The following is a 16,802-nucleotide window of genomic DNA, read 5'->3' on the forward strand; positions in this document are numbered from 1 at the left end:
CCTATTTTAAGGCTTAAGTATGCCATTTTGTTTTCTGTGCATCCCTCTGTTTTTTGTTTCTCTCTGTCTCTGTCTCTCTCTCTCTCTGCTCCCTATAGGTTATATGAACATTTGTTAGGATTCCACTTAGAGTGAAGTGTAGAAACATTACTTTTGATGTGTTTTTGATCCTGTGTTAACACTGCTTAATTCTTGGTGTTTCAATTTGGTATAATATATTGCTTTTGCCTTTATATTTTCGTATAGTGCTTGATTTTTATAAAGCAATGAATATATAATAAATTTGTGAAGTCACTATCCTTCTATTATATTTGTAAATGTAGCTATATATTGTCAAGGAAAAAATGTGGCTGATTTACACTGTTATTAAAACTTGAAAATCCTCAGTATTTATAGTTTTTAGACTTGACACACTTGAGATTTGAGCAGCAAAATCCTTTTTTACACATGACCTAATTTTTTCTATGATCATATCAGTTTCTACCCAAGCATTAGTGATTTAGGTCACTCGGATGGGGGCAGGTTTCTCTTACAACTCATCTCCAGCTCAAGAAAAGCCTCTTTCTCTCAAGCTTCTTCCTCACTACTCCCTTAGAGGAAGGAAGACCAATGTGATAGGTCAAATTCTGGAGCACTGTAAGGAGTACCACTGTGCATTGCTAAGTGACACCCATACATGTAAGACACATCTAAGCTCTTCTCTTTCTTATGATACTGAAGTGATGAGATAAGCTGGTGCTGACTGTGAAAGCTGGGCATTGACACACTGGCCTCTCTTTCTTCTCACTGGAGATTTTGGGCTCTGTCATTCCTGCCTACTAGGGGTCAGCTGATGATAAGATTTCTGTAGAATAAAAGAGGCAAAGATACCCTGCTTCATTCTTGTGCCTAAACCTGTGCTTCAATTCAAGTTGACCTGAGGGCTCTGCACTGAGGGGTCATGGGAACTGGCCCAGTGAATGATATTTCAGGTCCTTGTGTGCATGTCTTTTTCAAGGAAAGCCCTAAGAGGGGGCAATAAAGCAGTGTAACATAGGAGTAGGGTGTTCTTGTATCCTCTGAACAAATGCTAACCTCACACTGTCAGATTCTTACCAGTAATGCCACATAATTGGATAACTCTCGTTCTACTGCAGGTGGTGCAGATGGCGACCCAAATGTCATAATCCACATTGAAATGTCACACATACCCACTCAAATAGACATGCCCTCAGGTGTTGCCATGCCCCCATCCAGATGTCAGCACTAGGTATTTGCAGATATGATTGGTGGACTTCATGTATGAAAAGACAAGGGTAACTTTCTGTAGTTATTAGTAGTTTCAATCATTTGCAGAGTCATTATTCCCTCCCTGTTCTCCTTTTTGTTTCTTCCCCATTTATTCTTTAGGGTGTTCTATGATACTTAGCCTTATTGGCACCTGCTTTCATTTCCTGAATTCGTATCAGGATGTCACCCGTACCCTGCCTTCTTAGAATTCATGGTGATGCAATACAGGCAACTTAAATAAAAAGACTGATGGGAGGCCTCTTGAACTCTGTTAGTTTCCCTACTCTTTACTTTTCTTTTTATGTTTCATGCACCATGCTCAGGTGCTGTGAAACCAGTTCCTGGTTTTTAATCTAGTCTCACAGTAAGCAGGTTGTCCTCATTTAGCTACCATTTTACTTCTCAATAATTTAACTTTGACATTAAATTGTCCAAACTGACAAACACATCCCAGGTGAACTTGCTGTTTTTTTGCCACTTCTCAGTTGTCTTAATTACAGTTAGAATTGGACAATTAAGTTCATCTTTAGTAACTGCACACACATATTTAACTAATTGTTGTCTTTCCTTGCACATAATGCTATTCTATGTACCTCATATTATTTGATTTCTTTGAAAGAGAGAGCACATATCGCTCTTGTGTTTTTAAGAAGTAACTTTCAGCTCTCAGTAAGTTATGTATTTGAAATTTTGTCCTGCAGCATTGCTACCACTTTCCAATATACATTTTCTCTTGTACACAAACCTCACACAGGCTCATGTCAAATATTTATATAAGCATAGTCAAAACAGGGTGAATAAATTTCTCTTTGGTGGTCAGTTTCCAATTACACCTTCACATGACAGGTAGAGCCTGCTTTAGAGTCTCTATAATCAATCCTCAACTGTCTGTTACACAACAGTTTCTCCACCATTGGAAAATCAATTCTCTGTTCCCATAGGCTTTGGTAGAGTTACATTCCTCTGCCATCTCGAAACAAATCCATTTGTGAGATCATACTCATATCACATGGTACCATCACACAAGTTGAGCCCCAGCGGAATGGTAATAAAGTAAGTATTCCTAATACATGCTCATGAAAGGGGACTGGAATCACCCTATGACAAAGTTAAGATTGGTGCAGTAAAGTGGTCTCAGGATGGGAGGCACTTTTCCATTTCAGTTTCTCTGAATACTGAAAGTCTTGACAAAAAGACTTTATCAGCTTGTATTAACAATACCAGCTCATGAGGAATTAAAAAATTTAATACCAGGCCAGGCGCAGTGGCTCATGTCTGTAATCCCAGCACTTTGGGAGGCTGAGGAGGGATGGCTCACCTGAGGTCAAGAGTTCGAGACCAGCCTGGCCAACATGGTGAAACCCAGTCTCTACTAAAAATACAAAAAATTAGCTGAGCATGATGGCAGGTGCCTGTAATCCCAGCTACTTGGGAAGCTAAGGCAGGAGGATCGCTTGAACCCAGGAGGCGGAGGTTGCAGTGAACCAAGGTCACACCACTGCACTTCAGCCTGGGCAACAAGAGCGAAACTTTGTCTCAAAAAAAAAAAAAAAAATTAACGTGAGAAACCTGTAACACCATCCTGCAGCTTTGCACCAAGATTACCTTGTTTAATGGTCATAGTTGGTAATATTTATTTGTGTCAGGGGAATAACATTTTCATGGCTCCTGAATTTAAGTTTCCTATTTAGTAGGTTTATTTTTATCTAATGAATTTAAAATACCAGCATGAGTATTTTGCTAAGAGAGAGGATTAGATAACACCCTAGTGTCCCAGAAAAGGGTATGGATACTTCACCACAAAATATTCAAAATATTCCCAAGAGAAACTTTTTAGTTTATGCTATTCACTATGTGAAAGAAGAGGCATCCACCACTCTTGTTCATTCCCTAAAGTGCTGGTAGTATTTGCTTTGTAACAACATACCCCTGTTAAAATTCTTTTGACTATCACCTATAGGATAAACATAGAACTCTGTGTCATGTGCCTTTAAGATTTTCTATGTTTTGACTAAACTTCCTTAGCAGGCCCATTTTTCTCCCTCTTCTCCCGAGAGTCACCACCCACTCTTACCCAGCACCTTCATTAGCATAGAGCTCTCTGTCCTTTTTTCTTTTTTCTTTTTTCATACTTTGCATGGGAATAACTAAAACCTTTATTAGATATGATTTTCCATTAACAATAATGTGAAAATTACAATTATGAATTCAAAAGGCAGTGAAGTCTGAACATTTAAAAAGAAGACTAGGTGTTAGGGAACAAAAGGTAAAGGAAGGTGAGAATGTTTCTTTTATACTATTCATTATCTCCCCTCTGTACACAGTGTTGCATATATACAACCACTTCATTTTTACTGACTTTATATAATAGTGAAATCCCCTTAAGCAACCTAGGGTATACAGTTGGGGTCCAACTTTCAGGGGGTTGGGGGTGGGGAGTAGAAACACACTTGATTAACAGTTTTCACCCACACATTTTAGACAATTTTTTTCTTTTTTTGCCAAGATTTTAGTAGTAAGTTCACAAATATAGGAAATACTTTCACTTCTTCAGTGTTAAAATGGAAAACCAAACAGTGCTGACAGTAGTGGCTTAATTATTGGTATACAAGAAAAACACAACACCAATGGGTTTTCTTAATTATGCATTTTAAATATCAGTATGTGCATTTGTTTTTACAGTTATAAATTTTCTCATCTGTTTTAGACAACAGCTTGTAATAGTTTTGAATCCATTAAGATGTTGCTTTCAATTTGAAATATTTTGTGTATACACGTATATAAAAAATAACCCAAAGTATGACTCATCTGACAGATGTTTAAGATCAATAAAGGCTTATTTTTCAACATGCAGTTAGGAAGAGAGGGAAGCAAGCCAACCTCTCTACACTGTCTTTTTGCTGGCTTGTTTTTGCAGTGGTATCAATAGTGGTTTTTGAAGGGAGCCGTGTGCCGTCAGCCTATCTAGTTAAGATTAGATACCACAATCAACAAGAGGAGTAGAAGAGATGGGGAAGGGGGAGTAGGTAAGTGTTAGATATCAATTTTTTTTAAGTGTGCATTTTGTACTCTTCTAGGTATGGGATTAAAAGCAGGCCAGTGAGGAAAAAAATGTTTTAATTAGGAAAAAACTGCAATCAATCAAATCAAGACATAATAGCCGAACTAAGTTCTTTTAATAGACTGCATATATAGATGTTTAGCCATACTCTTAGATGAACTTTTTAAGAGTAGAACTTTATATCCAATTTACATGCTCTAGATACCACCTTTCTTATTTTTTATAGTAAGGTCTGGTATTAAAATACCCACTTGTACACTGACAGCTTTAAGAAAAACAGGACACAGAGTGAGTCGTCATTTTTAGCAGCAATGAAATACCACTAACCCATTTTTACATACCAAATTCAAGTCACTATCAGAGGTGAGTGTCACACAGTCACCAGGTATAAAATTGCTAGTTCATTTTTAAATTAATAACTTGAAATTACCCATGCCTCCCCACCCCATTACATCTTTTTATAAACAGAAAACATTTTGCTATTTTATACATAGGCTAGCAGCCTTGTTTTAATATGAAAGTGCTAATTCATTTACAGATTTGTATAATCAGTTATGTAGTGCTACAGTAAGTGTCCAATAATCTACATAGGAACAACGATGAATGAAAATGATGAAGATTGAATAAGGCTATCAGATTACCTTATTTTATGTACATATAAAGAATAGACACCCAATGGCGAGGAAGAGATAGAAATTGGACAAATACCCACGGGTGTAAACATTACATCTACTTTTGAGCTTTATACTGTAAATGAAACATTTTAAATAGTCCTGTAGCCCATGCCTATTTTTTCCTCAGAAAAAGAAAAGCTGCCTTCATGACATCCCCTCTTGTTTCAGATTTCCACAGTGTCACTTTAAAGCTTCAGAGTCAGGATCTTACTTTCTTCAAAAAATAAAGAAAATATGCCCCCTAAGGTACCTAAGGTAAGATCTCCCCACCCCCCAAATCCCGCTGGTTTCTTTTCCAGTGCCAGGTTGCATGATCAGGTCCCATCTCCTGGGGTTGTTGGTGTTTGTTTGTTTGTTTGTTTGTTTTTTCCATCTATTGATCATTAGTTTAGAATAGATAACATGAACCAGTTCTGGAGCCACTACTAGGAGGAACGCAAGCTCTTCACTGCAATCACACAGCAGGAAAGAAAGAGATAACTCAATTCTTCCGTGGTGCTGGGCCTCCAAAATTCAAAGAACTTGGCACAACTGAAGCACTAAATTTGTATCCTCCATGCTTCTCAATCATTTTGGACTTATGGGCTGCTCTTCTTTGATTGGCCAGAGTTGCTATGTCTTGTAACTGTTTTCTTTGTTCTTCATTAAGACTGTGTGAGTCAGAGCCTGATACCACACAGGATTACGATTTTGAATAGTTTGAAAGATAGCTTTAAATATCTGATACTCATCAACAGGGTTATCTTCATCATCAATGATTGTGGAATAGCTTTCCAGAGCAGTCTCTTCAGCATCACCTTCTTCCCAATCTTCATCACCTCCATCTTCACCTGCCTGCTTAGCCAGAATCTCCAAATATTCTTGCTCATCTTCATCAATATAATCTTCATCACTCCCCAGTTCCTCGGTTTCATCATCATCTTCAGCTTCATCATCATCATCACTGTCATTCCCGTGTTCTGCATGGCAGGCATATGCTCTTTTAAATCCGTTAAATCTACTGAACAAGAGCATAGAAGATCTTGAATATTTGTTTCTGATTGAGGACAGACTGATCAGACTGGTCAGAAAGAAGCTGGATAAAATGATCCTTTAGAACTGGCAGAAAATGTTGCATTGCCTCCTAGTCTGGTCTGTCTGTTCTAAGGTGAATTTACCTTGGTCCTGCAGTGTTGACACCGTGTTTCCAATCTTTTGTATTTCCTTAGGGCTCCTCAACCCTCTGTGAAAGGTGTGGAGGTACAAAGAAATGTTAAGTCAAGTCGCCAGGCAGGTGATATCAGTTCCCTGCAGAACAATGTGTGTAATAGCTGATGGGTGAGTCCCCTTCCCCATCCCTTTCCCTCTCTGCATCTGCCTCCTGGATAATCTAAGCTACTTTCTTATCTCCTAATTGGATGACAACAGGGGGGCCAGGGTTGCCTCAGGGATAATAGAGGCCCTTGGTTTTGGTGGCCTATTGTTGTGCATCTGGAAAGCACTAATGCTTAGGTTTTTAGTCCTAGTACCAAGTCAGAAAAACATGAAAGAGGAGGAAGGAGGATTTAGATTTAGCAATCAAGAGCTAGAATAGAATTTTTACATTACTCCCAAAACAATACTGCTGCCTTACTTTTCTTCAATATATGTAAAGTGCAAAACGAAAAAGTTAATTGTTACACCAACATTTTATATCATATATATATTATATATGTACTTGAAAAATCAATGTGAAATACAAATCTTTTGCGAGAAGTGAAGACTAAGAGAGGTTGTTACCAGCAGAATAGTACTACAAATAATGCTAAATGAAGTTCTTTAGGTTGAAGGAAAATGAGATTCAATGGAAATTTTTATCTACAATGAGGAATAAAGAGCAGCAGAAATGTTAAATATGTAGGTAAGCATAAAATATTACCTTTTATTTTCTCTTAATTATAAAAAGGAAAACTAAAGCAAAAAAATTCTATTGTGGAGTCTATAATGAATGTAGAAATAAAATATATGTTCACAACTACACAATTGAGAGACGTGAATGAATTTTTACTATTGTAAATGTATTATGTTTTATGTGAAGTTGTAAATATTAACGTTAATAGGCTGTGATAAGTTAAAGATGCATATGGTAACCCTTGAGCAACCCCTAAAATTAATACCAAAATTTATTATTAAAAAGATAATAGAGGAAGAAACATGGCGATGCCGACGTTGACTGCGAAACTGTACTCCCTGCTGTTCCGCAGGACTTCCACCTTCGCCCTCACCATCGCTGTGGGCGTCCTGTTCTTCGAGCGAGTCTTCCATCAGGGCGCGGACGAGATCTACCAGCACATCAGCGAGGGGAAGCTATGGAAACACATCAAGCAAAAGTATGAGAAAAAGTAGTTCCTTGGAGGCCCCCATCCAGGCCAGAAGGACCAGGTCCACTCGCCAGCTGTTTGCCCAGAGTTGGGGCCTCAGCTTGAAGACGATGCTCAAGTTACTTTTCATGTACCACTGTTCACTGTTGGCAAGAAACAGCTTTACCTACAGAACAGACTCTTTACCTTCTGCCGTGTTTGAAGTATGTTTAGTCAGCATCATCAAGAAATAAATGTGAATTGCCCTTGAAAAAAAAAGACAATAGAGGTATTGAAATAAAATACTAAAAATGTTTGATTATCCCCAAATAAGTGAGGAATGTGAGACAGAGGAATAATAAACAAATGAGACAAAAAGAAAACAAATAGCAAATGACAGACTGAATCGCATCTATAATTACATTAAATAGAAAGAGACTAAACACTCCAATAGAAAGGCAGAGATTATTAGATAGGATAAGAAAGCAAGGCCCAACTATTTGCTAACAAAAAGAGATGCATTTACATATAAAAACTTAAATAGATTGAAAATAAAATGAAGAAAAAGCAAAATACAAACCTAAGAATACTGTTTTGGCTATATAAATATCAGACAAACTAGACCAAGAAAAAGAATATCACATGAGATAGGGGTATAAAGATAGTACATTAATAAATAGTAATGCTAAATATATATGTGTCTAAAAACAGAGCCTCAAAATTTATGAGACAAATGCAGACAGATCTGAAGGGAGAAAGAGACATATCTAAAATCATAATTGATGATTTTTATCACTCCTTTCTCGGTAATTAATGGAAGAACTAAAAAAAATCAGTAAAGATTTAAAATATTTCTATAATACTGTCATCCAAATTAATGTAATTGACATTTTATAGGACACTACTCCTAATTGCTGAAGAATTCCTATTATTTCCAAGGGCACATGGAATGCTCATCAAAGTAAATTATATTCTGTACCATAAAATATGTATCCATAAATATCAAAAGTTTGAAATCTTACAGAGTATGTTCTCTGACCACAACAAAATTTAATTAGAAATAAACATGAAGTATCTAGAAATATCTGTAAATGCCTCCAAATATTTATAAATGAAATAACATATTTGTAAATAAGATGTTAATCACCCAGCACTTTGGGAGGCCAAGGCAGGTGATGGTCAGGAATTCGAGATCAGCCTGGCCAAGGTGGCAAAACCCCTCTCTACTAAAAATACAAAAATTAGCCAGGCATGGTGGTGTACACCTGTAATCCCAGCTACTAGGGAGGCTGAGAGAGGAGAATCGCTTGAACCCGGTAGGAGGAGGTTGCAGTGAGCCGAGATCGTGCAATTGCACTCCAGCCTGGGTGACAGAGCAAGACTCCATATCCAAAAAATATATATGTATTTTATCAGAGATGAATATAAAGTATATATTTTATCAGAGATAATTTGAAAAGATTAATAAAAATTATAAATTCCTAGAGAGAATGTCCAAGGAACAAAGAAAGAGAAAACTCTGGTAACAGGAATAAAAGAGTGTACATCACTACAGATTTGATGGATATTAGAAGATTGATAACAGTATATTCTCTGACCACAACAAAATTAAATTAGAAATGAATATTACTATAAAAATAAAGATTTCCTCTGAGAATGGCAGACATATTTTTTCCTCAGTTATATGTCTGATTAGCCTATGTACTTATTGATTTGATCCCATATTAGTTGAGTAGCACAAAAGAGAATGGGGAAAGATGACATTGTGGGAATTGCCTGGTAAAGAGGATTTATAGGACTGTCATAGCATTGATAACTGAGAGAAGATGCGATTGAGGGCCATAGTCTTTCTAGTACTGCCACAGTATGTGGGTGGATAGCTAAAAGGCACACACAATAGAGCGATGCTATATGAAAGCCACCAGTTGGAGGACAGTGGGGAGTGGTGACCAAATCTTGCAAGGTATTCAATGTTTAGGGAAGTTACATTGAGGTGAGCCCCTCATCAATAAGGCATTAGTATAATTACAACCCATTCTCGTTAAGCCTCAAATGTGGTCTAAGGAAGAAGTTACATCAATAAGAGAGTGGGACTGGAAAATTCATCCAGTTGAGTAAAGAGTTGCGTGTCCCTTTTTTTGTCTTTCCATATCCCACAACACCACAGAGGGGAAAGTAAGTGTCTAGAAGGGAGGACAACAAAGGGAGGGAATGTACAGTCCTTGACGTCTTCATCTCCTTTACGCGTTATGATCTTGAAGTCACAGCCTGATCTAGCATGACCTGAGGTAGGCAAGGAGATCTGAGATTTACATCAAGTTCAAAAATCAAATTGTAAAATAAATGTGACTGACTTACATGGCACATATATTTACTATATTTATAAGTAAATAATTATATGAGATCATTCTAATAATATCACCACCAACTAATAGGATGTGGCCAACCCACGCAAGTGTAAAGGGCATGTTTTCAACTTTCTTAGATGGAGAACAGTCAATGGAAAAAATAACATCATGTTTTATGTTTGCACTCTAATGAGTTGAGAATCCTTAATATATTCACTTACAGTTGAAGTTTGACTTTATCTCAACTATTATTTCTCTTTGCATCCCTGTCCTTTTGCTTGCTCTTCAGCTTGCCCATTTCTCTTTTCTCTGTATTTAGTCCTTCATCTCCTCTTCTCAATCTTTATTATCCTTCATAATCTCTCCTCTTCCTGCATCTTTCCACCCCTCCTACACTTAAAATTTTATTACATCCTCCTGTCATTCCTCTTACTCCTCTCTTCTGCCTGATTTCTACTACTTCTCTGCATGTATTGGACCTCTACTTAGAGTTAATCATATAATTTATCGACCAAGTGGTGTCACTTTTGAAAGTAAATGAAGGTGCTATTTGTAATTTTGCTAAGGCAACAGGTACAAACCAGTACTGTCCTAGGAAAACTGGGATATATGGTCACGCTAGCTGTAGTAAAGCCCCAATTTAGGGTCCAGATGGGTAGGGAAGGTCATTATGAGAAAATGATATTAAGTCAATTTCTGTAGGATGTGTAAGAGCCAGATGAAGAGTGGGGAGAAGCATATTACTGGCAAAACAAATGAGAGTACAGAGGCGCTGAGGTGAGAATGAAGGAAGTTCAAAGTAGCTGGAGAATGGAAAAAGATGGGAAAAGTGGCATAGGCTGAGGCTGCCGATGTGGATAATAATGAGGAGCCAGATCAGGACAGGAATTGAAAAATGGACATCCAGAATTCCTGTACATGGGGGAAGGGAACTTAGATGAGGCTTTCTGGTTGAAACGAGGGCAATAGATTATTTGTCAACAAAGTTGCATTTTTATAACAAGCATAGGAATTCTATATAGAATTGCATGTTACAGGTCAATAAAAATATCACTGTTTTAAAAAGATATTTATATTATCAAATTGCATGACCTAAGGAAGCAAGAATTCTTATTGAAGAATGTTATTAATAGTTGAAATGAAGTGATGGTGAGGAATGGAGATGAAGAAAACAGAAGGGAGAGAAGGTTAAAGCCCTGCCAAAGCCATTGCTTGGCCAGGGTTAGGAGTTGACTTTTATTCTAATTGCAATGGGAAGGCAATAGGAGATATAAGCAGGGAAATGACATGATTCGATTTACATTTTTTAAAATTTTACTTTAATTTCTGGGATAACTGTGCAGAAGGTGCAGGTTTGTTACATAGGTATACTCATGCCATGGTGGTTTGCAGCACCCATCAACCTGTCATCTAGGTTTTAGCCCCGCATGCATCACGTATTTGTCCTAATGCTCTCTCTCTCTTTGCCCCCACCCTCCAACAGGCTCCAGTGTGTGATGTTCCCCTCCCTGTGTCCATGTGTTCTCATTGTTCATCTGTCATTTATGAGTGTGAACATATGGTGTTGGTTTTCTGTTCCTGGGATAGTTTACTGAGAATGATGGTTTCCATCTTCATCCATGTCCCTGCAAAAGACATTAACTCATTCTTTTTGATGGCTGCATAGTATTCCATGGTGTATATGTGCCACATTTTCTTTATCCAGTCTATCAGTGATGGGCATTTGGGTTGGTTCCAAGTCTTTGCTATTGTAAATAGTGCTACAATAAACATATGTGTGCATGTGTCATTACAGTAGAATGATTTATAATCTTTTGGGTATATACCCAGTAATGAGATTGCTGAGTCAAATAGTATTTCCGGTTCTAGATCCTTGAGGAATCGCCACACTGTCTTTCACAGTGGTTGAACTAATTTACACTCCCACCAACAGTGTAAAAGTGTTTCTATTTCTCCACATCCTCTCCAGCATCTGTTTTTTCCTGACTTTTTAATGATCGCCATTCTGACTTGTGTGACAAGGTACCTCACTGTGGTTTTGATTTCCATTTCTCTAATGACCAGTGATGATGAGCTTTTTTAAAATATGTTTGTTGGCCGCATTAATGTCTTCTTTTGAAAAGTATCTGTTCATATCCTTACGTTTGTTTTTTTCTTGTAAATTTGTTTAACTTCCTTATAGATTCTGGATATTAGACCTTTGTCAGATGGATAGATTGCAAAAATTTTCTCCCATTCTGTAGGTTGCCTGTTCACTTTGATGATAGTTTCTTTTGCTGTGCAGAGCTCTTTAGTTTAATTAGATACCATTTGTCAATTTTGGCTTTTGTTGCCATTGCTTTTGGTGTTTTAGTCATGAAGTCTTTGCCCATGCCTATGTCCTGAATGGTGTTGCCTAAGTTTTCTTCTAGGGTTTTTATGGTTTTAGGTCTAACATGTAAGTCTTTAATCCATCTTGAATTAATTTTTGTATAAGGTGTAAGGAAGGGATCCAGTTTCAGTTTTCTGCATATGGCTAGCCAGTTTTCCCAGCACTATTTATTAAACAGGGAATCCTTTCCCCATTGCTTGTTTTTGTCAGGTTTGTTGAAGATCAGATGGTTGTAGATGTGTGGTGTTATTTCTGAGGCCTCTGTTCTGTTCCATTGGTCTATATCTCTGTTTTGGTACCAGTACTATGCTGTTTTAGTTACGGTAGACTTGTAGTATAGTTTGAAGTCAGGTAGCATGATGCCTCCAGCTTTGTTCTTTTTGCTTAGGATTGACTTGGCAATGCAGGCTCTTTTTTGGTTCCATATGAAATTTAAAGTAGTTTTTTCTAGTTCTGTGAAGAAAGTAAATGGTAGCTTGATGAGAATAGCATTGAGTATACAAATTACTTTGGGCAGTATGGCCATTTTCATGATATCGATTCTTCCTATCCATGAGCATGGAATGTTTTTCCATTTGTTTGTGTCTTCTCTTATTTCCTTGAGCAGTGGTTTGTAGTTCTCCCTGAAGAGTTCCTCCACGTCCCTTGTAAGTTGTATTCCTAGGTATTTTATTCTGTTTGTAGCAATTGTGAATGGGAGTTTGCTCATGATTTGGCTCTCTGCTTGTCTATTATTGGTGTATAGGAATTCTTGCAATTTTTGCACATTGATTTTATATCCTGAGACTTTGCTGAAGTTGCTTATCAGCTTAAGGAATTTTTGGGCTAACACGATGGGGTTTTCTAAATATACAATCATGTCATCTGCAAATGAAGACAATTTGACTTCCTCTCTTCCTATTTGAATACCCTTTATTTCTTTCTCTTGCCTTATTGCCCTGGCCAGAACTTCCAATACTATGTTGAATAGGAGTGATGAGAGAGGGCATCCTTGTCTTGTGCCAGTTGTCAAAGCGTGCCAGCTTTTGCCCATTCAGTATAATATTGGCTGTGGGTTTGTCATAAATAGCTCTTATTATTTTGAGATATGTTCTATCAATACCTAGTTTATTGAGAGTTTTTAGCATGAAGGGGTGTTGAATTTTATTGAAGGTCTTTTTTGTCTCTATTGAGATAATCATGTGGTTTTTGTCATTGGTTCTGTTTATGTGATAGATTACGTTTATTAATTTGTGTGTGTTGAATCAGCCTTGCATCCCAGGGATGAAGCCGACTTGATCGTGGTGGATAAGCTTTTTGATGTGCTGCTGGATTCAGCTTGCCAGTATTTTATTGAGGATTTTCACATCGAGGTTCATCAGGGATATTGGCCTGAAATTTTCTTTTTTTGTTGTGTCTCTGCCAGGTTTTGGTATCAGGATGATGCTGTCCTCATAAAATGAGTTTAGGAGGAGTCCCTCTTTTTCTATTGTTTGCAATAGTTTCAGAAGGAATGGTACCAGCTCCTCTTTGTACCTCTGGTAGAATTCGTCTGTGAATCTGCCTCGTCCTGGGCTTTTTCTTGGTTGGTAGGCTATTAATTGCTGCCTTAATTTCAGAACTTGTTATTGGTCTATTCAGGGATTCGACTTCTTCCTGGTTTAGTCTTGGGAGGGTGTATGTGTCCAGGAATTTATCCATTTCTTCTAGATTTTCTAGTTTATTTGCATAGAGGTGTTTGTAGTACTCTCTGATGGTAGTTTGTATTTCTGTGGGATCAGTGGTGATATCCTCTTTATCATTTTTATTGTGTCTATTTGATTCTTCTCTCTTTTCCTCTTTATTAGTCTGGCTAGCAGTCTATTTTGTTAATCTTTTCCAAAAAACAGCTCCTGGATTTATTGATTTTTTTTGAGGGTTTTTCGTATCTCTGTAACAAGATAGTTATTTCTTGTCTTCTGCTAGCTTTTGTATTTGTTTGCTCTTGCTTCTCTAGTTCTTTTAATTGTGATGTTAGGGTGTCAATTTTAGGTCTTTCCTGCTTTCTCTTGTGGGCATTTAGTGCTATAAATTTCCCTCTTAACACTGTTTTAGCTGTGTCCCAGAGATTCTGGTACATTGTCTCTTTGTTCTCATTGGTTTCAAAGAACTTATTTATTTCTGCCTTAGTTTCGTTATTTACCCAGTAGTCATTTGGGAGCAGGTTGTTCAGTTTCCATGTAGTTGTGCAGTTTTGATTGAGTTTCTTAATCCCGATTTCTAATTTGATTGCACTGTGGTCTGAGAGACTGTTTGTTTTGATTTCCATTCTTTTGCATTTGCTGAGGAGTGTTTTAATTCCAATTATGTGGTCGATTTTAAAACAAATGCTATGTAGTGCTGAGAAGAATGTATATTCTGTTGATTTGGGGTGGAGAGTTCTGTAGATATCTATTAGGTCTGCTTGGTCCAGAGCTGAATTTAAGTCCTGAATATCCTTGTTAATTTTCTGTCTCGTTGATCTGTCTAATATTGGCAGTGGGGTGTTAAAGTCTCCCACTATTATTGCGTGGGAGTCTAGGTCTCTTTGTAGGTCTCTAAGAACTTGTTTTATGAATCTGGGTGCTCCTGTATTGGGTGCATATATATTTAGGATAGTTAGCTCTTCTTGTTGCATGGATCCGTTTACCATTATGTAATGCCCTTCTTTGTCTTTTTTGATCTTTGTTGATTTAAAGTCTGTTTTATCAGAGACTAGGATTGCAACTCTTATTTTTTTTGCCTTCCATTTGCTTTGTAAATATGATTTACACTTTAAAGCAATTGCTGTAGGTACTCTGTGGAGAACTGATTGTAGAAGGGGAAATATTTGAAGTAGGGAGGTCACTTAAGAGACTCTTATGCCAGTGGCCTCAACTAGGATGATATAGAGATAAGTTGATATATATTTGAGGTAGAATATTAAGGATTTTGTGGTATTTTTAATATGGGATAAGAGATCAGGTAAAGTAAGCAGTGATGGAAGACTCATAAATTTCTGGTTTGGGAATCTGAATGTATGTCGGTGGTATTCACTGAGTTGAAAAAGTCAAGTGAAGGAATACATAATGTTTGTGAGAAGGATACATTATAAGATATCAATATGAGACATGTTAATTTTGAATGTACTGAGAGATTTCCAATTATAGAATGGAGATAGGCAGTTGCATTATGGGTCTAAAAATCATAGGCCAAGTTAGTAGAGGAGATACAGATTTGGGAGCAGGAAACATAAAATGGTGTTTTAAACCTCCTTTCCTGAACCTGTTTACATTTCACTGTAGAGACATTACAGAGGAAGTGCTGAGGAAAAGCATGCACCTGAAAGGGAGGTTGCTATGCAACAGATGAGGAAAGTCATTCAGCCAGGCAGAATTGAAGTTGGCCTTTGGGAACAAAATGCTGCCGTCCTTCCTAGCATTAGTTGCCTTTCATATGAAGGCTTCTGGCATGAGTTGATGCCAGAACAAATGTGAACTGCACAAAGATCTGTCTTGAATTTTGGAAAAGTATCAGTTTAATTTGAGTCAGCTCACATCTGTATTTAATTTTCTGCCTTTTTGAGTTTCTCCAGTTATCCTGGAAGCATAGCAGCATGTGCGTCCTTGGGTAGGACCCAATTACTGTGCATTCCACTTTGCACATTGAGAAACCAAGCTCAGAGAATTGAGTGGCCTGAGCGGGCTCACACATCTTGAGACAGACAGGCTGGGCACTCCATCCCTGGAATTCTGATGCCCAGCGCAGGTTCTCTCCATAAGACCACAGCTGCCCCAGGCCCCAGCTCTGAAAGGAACCAGGGCTTGCCATGGCTCAGACACATAGGTCTGATTGTCCTGGCTCTTCCAGTGGGCACCAGGAAGGCCTCAGGGACATTGTGATTGTGTCCCTGATAAGGAAGAGGCCTGAGGTTCTGAGTACAGAGTGGATACCAAGGAGCAATTCTCATGCCTGGATGGACCCACACAGGGCAGGGGGAGGGTGGGGGCCTCTGCTTGTGTCCTCCTGAATGCAGAGCATGAGCTTGGACCTCCTAGAACACAAACGTTGCTTATTTGGAGCAAATGTTGGGGTGGAGGAGGTCTGTCATTCAAATGGGAAGGGTGCCTCGGTCCCCAGGCCAGCATGAGCAGAATGTGAACTTTGGAGTTAGGACGACCCAGGCTCAAACTTCTTTTTGTAATTTCAACTTTTATTTTCGATTTAGGAGGTAAATGTGCAAGTTTGTTACATGGGTATATTGCGTGATGCTGAGGTTTGGGGTATGAATGATCCCATCACTCAGGTAATGAGCATAGTACCCAATAGGTAATTTTTTAGCCCTTGCCCCACTTAATTTATCCATTCTCTAGTAGTCCACAGTGTGTATTTTTACCATCTTTATCTCCATGTGTACTCAATGCTTAGCTCCCACTTATACGTGAGAACATGAGGTATTTGGTTTTCTGTTCCTGCATTAATTCACTTAGGATAATGGCCTCCAGTTGCATCCATGTTCCTGAAAAGGACATGATTTCATTATGCTTTTTGTGGCTCTGTAGTATTCTATGGTGTATATGTACCACATTTTCTTTTTTTTTATTATTATTATACTTTAAGCTTTAGGGTACCTGTGCATTATGTGCAGGTTAGTTACATATGTATACATGTGCCATGCTGGTGTGCTGCACCCATTAACTCGTCATTTAGCATTAGGTATATCTCCTAAAGCTATCCCTCCCCCCTCCCCCCACCCCACAACAGTCCCCAGAGTGTGATGTTCCC

The 16,802-nt window shown here is 38.0% G+C and overlaps 2 pseudogenes, besides 1 other annotated feature; one reads left to right on the forward strand and one right to left on the reverse strand.

Moving 5' to 3' along the window:
- Positions 1-5,288: 5,288 nt before the first annotated feature.
- Positions 5,289-6,124, reverse strand: IPO7P1 (importin 7 pseudogene 1; annotated as a pseudogene).
- Positions 6,606-7,805: an enhancer, noted in NCBI's record as "BRD4-independent group 4 enhancer chrX:51666077-51667276 (GRCh37/hg19 assembly coordinates)". NCBI's record gives its function as "activates an origin of replication core promoter dependent on BRD2, P300/CBP, MED14 and CDK7 cofactors, and independent of BRD4, by STARR-seq in HCT116 cells {active_cell/tissue: HCT116}" and the evidence as "EXISTENCE:reporter gene assay evidence [ECO:0000049][PMID:35650434]".
- UQCR10P1 (UQCR10 pseudogene 1) lies at positions 7,169-7,593 on the forward strand (annotated as a pseudogene).

This window comes from Homo sapiens, chromosome X (genome assembly GCF_000001405.40).
Source record: "Homo sapiens chromosome X, GRCh38.p14 Primary Assembly".
Classification (NCBI taxonomy): domain Eukaryota; kingdom Metazoa; phylum Chordata; class Mammalia; order Primates; family Hominidae; genus Homo; species Homo sapiens.